The sequence below is a fragment of the Homo sapiens genome, chromosome 3 (genome assembly GCF_000001405.40).
Source record: "Homo sapiens chromosome 3, GRCh38.p14 Primary Assembly".
NCBI lineage: Eukaryota > Metazoa > Chordata > Mammalia > Primates > Hominidae > Homo > Homo sapiens.
This window is the reverse complement of record NC_000003.12, coordinates 102532385-102538092: the sequence shown is the minus strand read 5'-3', so window position 1 is coordinate 102538092 and position 5708 is coordinate 102532385. Positions and strand designations below refer to the sequence as shown.

Sequence of the window (5708 nt, the reverse complement as noted above, 5' to 3'; positions counted from 1 at the left end):
GTTAGCACATATCACACAGTTGATGCCACACTTAAGAAGCTAGGGCATATTTGGCTGTATAATCATGTACCAGCACAAAGTTCTATTGAAAGAAAAAGAAAAACAATGGTTATTCTGGGATAAATAGCAGAATCTGCCACGTCTGGGTTAAACAAAATTGATAATTTTATGCCTGATAACCCCCATGAAAAAGGCTCTCGTAACAAAAATCTCCCCTCTCCCACTTCATACCCTAAACTCTTGGCTAATTTCTTTAATCATGTTTATTCTAAACAGCCCTCAAAATAAAATGGAGTTATTATTTGGAAGGCTGAAGTGAGGATAGATTTCGTTCAAAAAAAGATAGCATAGAAAAAAATAATGGAGGTATATTTTCAAGGTTTCTAAGTACTTGAATTCAATCATTTTTAAATATGATTAAAATTTAATAATTTTTTAAAATTTAATCACCTGAATTTTTAAGAATGAATGGTTTTCTAGTCTCAGAATATATGCCTTCTTTATCTGTATCTATGTGTTTGGTTAAAACCTTTTTATCTCCTGTGCCATTTTGATCTATTGAGCAAGATGAAATCAGTCTCTATCCTTTGTTTCTACCATTTCTAATCGATCTATTTTTATTATTAATAATAATAGTTAACATTTTTGAGTACTTGCTGCTTAATTTATTTCTCCCAAATGCCCAGTGATGTATGCACTATTGTTATCCCTAGCTCACAGATTACAAAATTGGAACTAGCAAGGGCTATAGCCAGGATGCCACCCAGATAATCATCTATTGAGCAACCAACTAAAACCCTATGCAGTGCTTTATCAAGCTAACAAGCTTTTTGTACAAAAACAGAATCAGGGTGGGTGATCAAGCATAAAGCATTCAGTACAAACAAACACTGCAGAAGAAATAAAAGATTGTTCACAATAACAGAAAAACTAAAGACAAGAAAAATTTTAAGCAGTCTTTAGTGTTTTTAATTCCCTAGTTCCAATGCTTCCTAACCAAGAAAGACCATGAACAGACCACTTCGGTTCTATACAGAAATGAAAGTAGAAAATGCAAAATATTTTCATTAATGAAAATCCCAGAATTATTCAGAACTGGCAAATGATAATATGTATGGTTTTAACTAATCATTTTTCAAGAGTAGATAACAGGTTCCTTGATAGAAATCCTTGGCTTGTTTTCATTTCTAAAATGTGTGCTGTTGACTTTTCCATCACATTGCTCTAAATGAACAGGAGAACGTGGGCTGAGCCTGAACAACGAGAACTCTAAAAGCGTGCGCAGGTAGCACATTTGTGTGTGCAGATGTTTAGAAGGAAAGGTGCTCCCAGGAATTGCTAACCAGAGGATTAGAGCTCAGCACCAGACAAGCTGTCATTTTCTGTGGTTGTATTTCTGAGCTTATTTACTAGGTGGCGATATAATCTTAAAAATAAGCATTAACATTTCGGTGCCAAAGTGTCAGCTCTCCAGTTTTTTCACTGAAGCGTTTTTCACTTCCACTCCTTCTTTTCTTTGGCTCTTACTTTTGCTGTCTTTCTCTGAAATTTTGTGTCATCTGCTTTATTTTCATAACAGAAAAACTATTAAACCATAAAAGCTGGCTTGAGAAAGAGAAGCTTGAAATCCCTCAGTAGTATGATCTGAATATAGAAATATAGGATCTTCAGTCTTTTGCTATCAGCAGCTCCTGAGGGCTGACTAACAGTCAGATTTATTTGCTGCATATCTGGAATTCTTTTTATTGCTAAAACGTTAGAGAAGTAAACCCATTTTCTGGTAAATGGGTAAACATATACACATATATATCTTTCTCAATACTCCTAGAAATAGACCTCCTTGAGACCAATGAAAAGCAATACATTATCAAATGTTTTTGCAAATCCAAATCCTCCACGCTTACTTCCTCTATCTCATCTTCACACATCACACCACCAGCCTCAAAGTGTATAGTAATTTTGGAAGAACTTACAGAATTATGAATAAGCAAATATCAGTTAAGGTGCTTTATAAAGAGTTAAATGGCATTCAAATACTAATTACTATTATTTTACAATATCCAGTTCTATCATCCAGGGACAAGGTAGGGGATATCTTATCTGGAAATTAGAAATAAGAAGCCTTCTTTTTTCTTGCCTTTTAAAATTATCTTGAGAAAATATCATCCCACTGGCCTATAGATGATGACCCAGAAAATGCTACCACTACAAGTTCATGTAATTACCCACTAATGTTACATGGTCATCTACTACACAGCATTGTGCTGGACATTATGACACTGTGAGAATTACTGAGGAAGATAAACCATAATCTCTCACCTCAAGAAGCACATATGTTGGTAAAGCACAGTAAACACAGTAGTTCTGACATAATATTTCTGCACTCAGAGCTCAGAGAGAGTAGGGAAGGCAGGAGGAAGTTGAAAGAAAAATAATAGATGATTCAAACTTGAACACATCCTGGAAGGATGGGAAGGATATTGACATGTGAGAAGGGGAAAGGTGCAAGAGGAGAACCTTCCAGACAGATTGACCTTGCAACTGGGATTGAACAAGTGTTCATTTAAGCCAGAATCAATGAGGAAAGGTAATGTGGGTGGATGCTACTTAAAAGGGGGAAACAGAGAAAGATTGGCGGAGTGGGGTTTGGATTGTGGAAGGCCATGAGAAGCAAGCAGAAGAGTAGATTTAATTTGACAGCAAACACCATTTCGAGGAGCACCAGAGCAACACTGTGAAAGAGTTGTTTTAGAAAAATCAGCCTATGCTGGGCCCGGTGGCTCACACCTGTAACCCCAGCACTTTTGGAGGCCAAGGCAGGGGGATCACCTGAGGTCAGGAGTTGGAGACCAACCTGGCCAACATGGCAAAACCCTGTCTCTACTAAAAATACAAAAAAATTAGTTGGGCATGGTGGCAGGTGCCTATAATTCCAGCTACTTGGGAGGCTGAGGCAGGGGAATCGCTTGAACCTGTGGGGCGGAGGTTGCAGTGAGCCAAGATCCTGCCACTGCACTCCAGCCTGGGCGACAGAGTGAGACTCCATCTCAAAAAAAAAAAAAGAAGAAGAAGAAGAAGAAATATCAGCCTAGCCATGAGAGAGGAAGGGATTAGAGAGGAAAACAAGACAAAACAGCAAGGTGATCATTCATGCATGAGAAGGTCTGGGCTAAAAGGACAGCAGTAAGGATATATTCACAAAAGTAAATATGAGAGCAATGTCAAAAGAAAATAATGCCTAAAATCTAAGACTGACTGATTTGGATGAATGAAGGGGACAAAAGTTACTCTTGTTAACTGGGATAATGGTGGTTTCACTGAAAGAGACTATGAAATTTGGGAGGGAAAGACAGTAAATGTGGCTCTAGAAATGCTATTTTTGAGGTGACCATAGGAGACTAAGTATAAATTCCAATAGGCAGTATGAAATGTGATTTCATAGCTAAAGGGTTATAGAAAAATATGGGCACCAACATAGAGGTAATTGTTGAGGAAGGAAAATAAGAATAAAATAATTCAGCCAGCCAATTCAGTATGATTGTAACATCTATATTTTAGACACTGTGAAACACTAGAGTGAGAAGACACAGAGATGAATACGACATCTCTGGAAAGAGAGACACTCTGAAGTGTTTACAATGCAATAAAATCAATTCTATATCAAAAGTGCTAAGAAAAGGAAGAAGAAAGAGAAATCAATCATGCAGAGAAAGCTGAAGGAGAGGAACATTCTCCTAACTTGTTCCAAGAGCAGACTAGAGAACACTAAGTGGTTTAGAAACATGTTTCTTCCTTCTTGTCAGAAGAAATAGTATCTGGAACAGCATAAAGATATGAAGGAACACATCTTACTCAAGAAAGTATTAATGATCAAAAATGACTAGAGCTTAGGACACACAGAAAGAGTGGTGGGAGGTGGACTCAGTGAAGAAGGTCAAGGAGAACTCATAAACGAACTGTAATGAGTTTAACTCTATGGGGAAAACACAATGGAAGCTTAGTAAGAGAGAGTGACAAGACCTGGATGTTGAGTCTTGCCAGTTTTGGGGGAGAAAAGCAAAGGAACCAGAACGAAGGAAAGTGATAGAGACAAGTGGAGACAAGGAAGTGGAAGTGATGGAGAGAGTGGTGAGTGAAAGTGATAGAGAATTTGAGTAGAAAGCTAAAAGGAAGAAAGTTTTGCAGAAAGGAAGGAACACACAGTCCTGGTGCTTAAAATTACTTAAGAAAAAAACCTATTTATTGTTTATTAAAATGTAAGTGTCCTATGATAACGAGTTAGCGAGTTTTAAAAGATGTCCCCAATGAACCATGCCTTCTGGCATTCATAATCTTGTGTAGTCCCCTCCCACAATAAATCTGTGCTTCCCTGTGACTTCCATGAACAATAGTACATGTTAGGAGTGACATGGTGACACTTCTGGACCTAGATTTTAAGAGGGGTGGCAGCCTCTGCCTCCCTTTGCTTGGTTTTGGGAACTCTAACTGGCCACATAAGAAGTCTTCTTCCTGCTGGGTGCAGTGGCTCACGCCTGTAATCCCAACAATTAGGGAGGCCGAGGTGGGAGGATCACCTGAGGTCAGGAGTTCGAGACCAGCCTGGCCAACATAGTGAAACCCTGTCTCTACTAAAAATACAAAAATTAGCCAGGCATGGTGGCGCATGCCTGTAATTCCAGCTACTCAGGAGGCTGAGGCAGGAGAATCACTTGAGCCCTGGAGGTGGAGGTTGCAGTGAGCCGAGATCATGTCATTGCACTCCAGTGTGGGCAACACAGCAAGACGCCATCCCAGAAAGAAAAAAAAGAAAAAAGAAAAAAAGTATTCTTCTCTGGTCTGGCTATCACAAAGAGACGTCATTAAGATGTCATTATAGAGAAATCCTGAGACTACATGGAGAAGGAGGGAGGTTCAGCCCTCCCAATATCTCACACAGGCCTCCAGATTATAACAGCAGCCTGCAGATGAGGAAATAGTCATCGTCTGACTGCAACCACATGAGAAACCGCAAGCAAGAGCAACAGAATAATACCCAGCTGAACACAGTAAACCCATGGAAACATGGGAGATAACAAAATGATTGCTATATTAAGCCACAAGTTTTGGAGTGAAACCTACTCCTATGAAGCAAGGTCCATTCAGCCATAAACACTCAGCACCTATAAGGGTAAATGTCCTGTTTAGGTGACTGCTGTCTGGGAAAGGCCCCCAGCCATAGCAGGTATAAGAATCCAGAAAAGGTTGTAGCAACTCTATGTCCAGAGGACAACATAAAGGACCTGGACAGCCTGGCAAAGTGAGGAGAATATGGCTAAAAGGAGACAGTGGAAAGGCACTGGAAGAAAATGGGATTTTCTTTATTAAAACAAAACCTCAACCCTCCAGGCTTTTCTTATTTCTGGAAAAACAATTGGCCCAGTAGTTCTTCCACTCTCCTTGGAAGTCCTTGCTTTCCTCTTGAGATTCTCACATTTCAGATATTGCTGCCACCATCTCGCTAGCCTCAGGAGGGATGGTGTGCCCTTTCTTTGCTCTACATAAAGAACAAACAAAATCTCTTCCATGTTTCTCTTAGCACAGTTTAGGGAGGCTAGAACTTTAAAAGAGACCTTATTAAATACCAAGGTAAAGAAAAAGCAGCAAATATAGCAAAAGACAAAAATGATCTATTATTCAATGACTAAGATATCCAATGATATCTACTCCAG

The 5708-nt window shown here is 39.1% G+C and overlaps 1 annotated feature.

The window, feature by feature from the left end:
* Positions 1274-1568: a silencer, noted in NCBI's record as "tiled region #11515; HepG2 Repressive DNase matched - State 13:Ctcf". NCBI's record gives its function as "represses a minimal TATA promoter and a strong SV40 promoter by Sharpr-MPRA in HepG2 cells {active_cell/tissue: HepG2}" and the evidence as "EXISTENCE:reporter gene assay evidence [ECO:0000049][PMID:27701403]".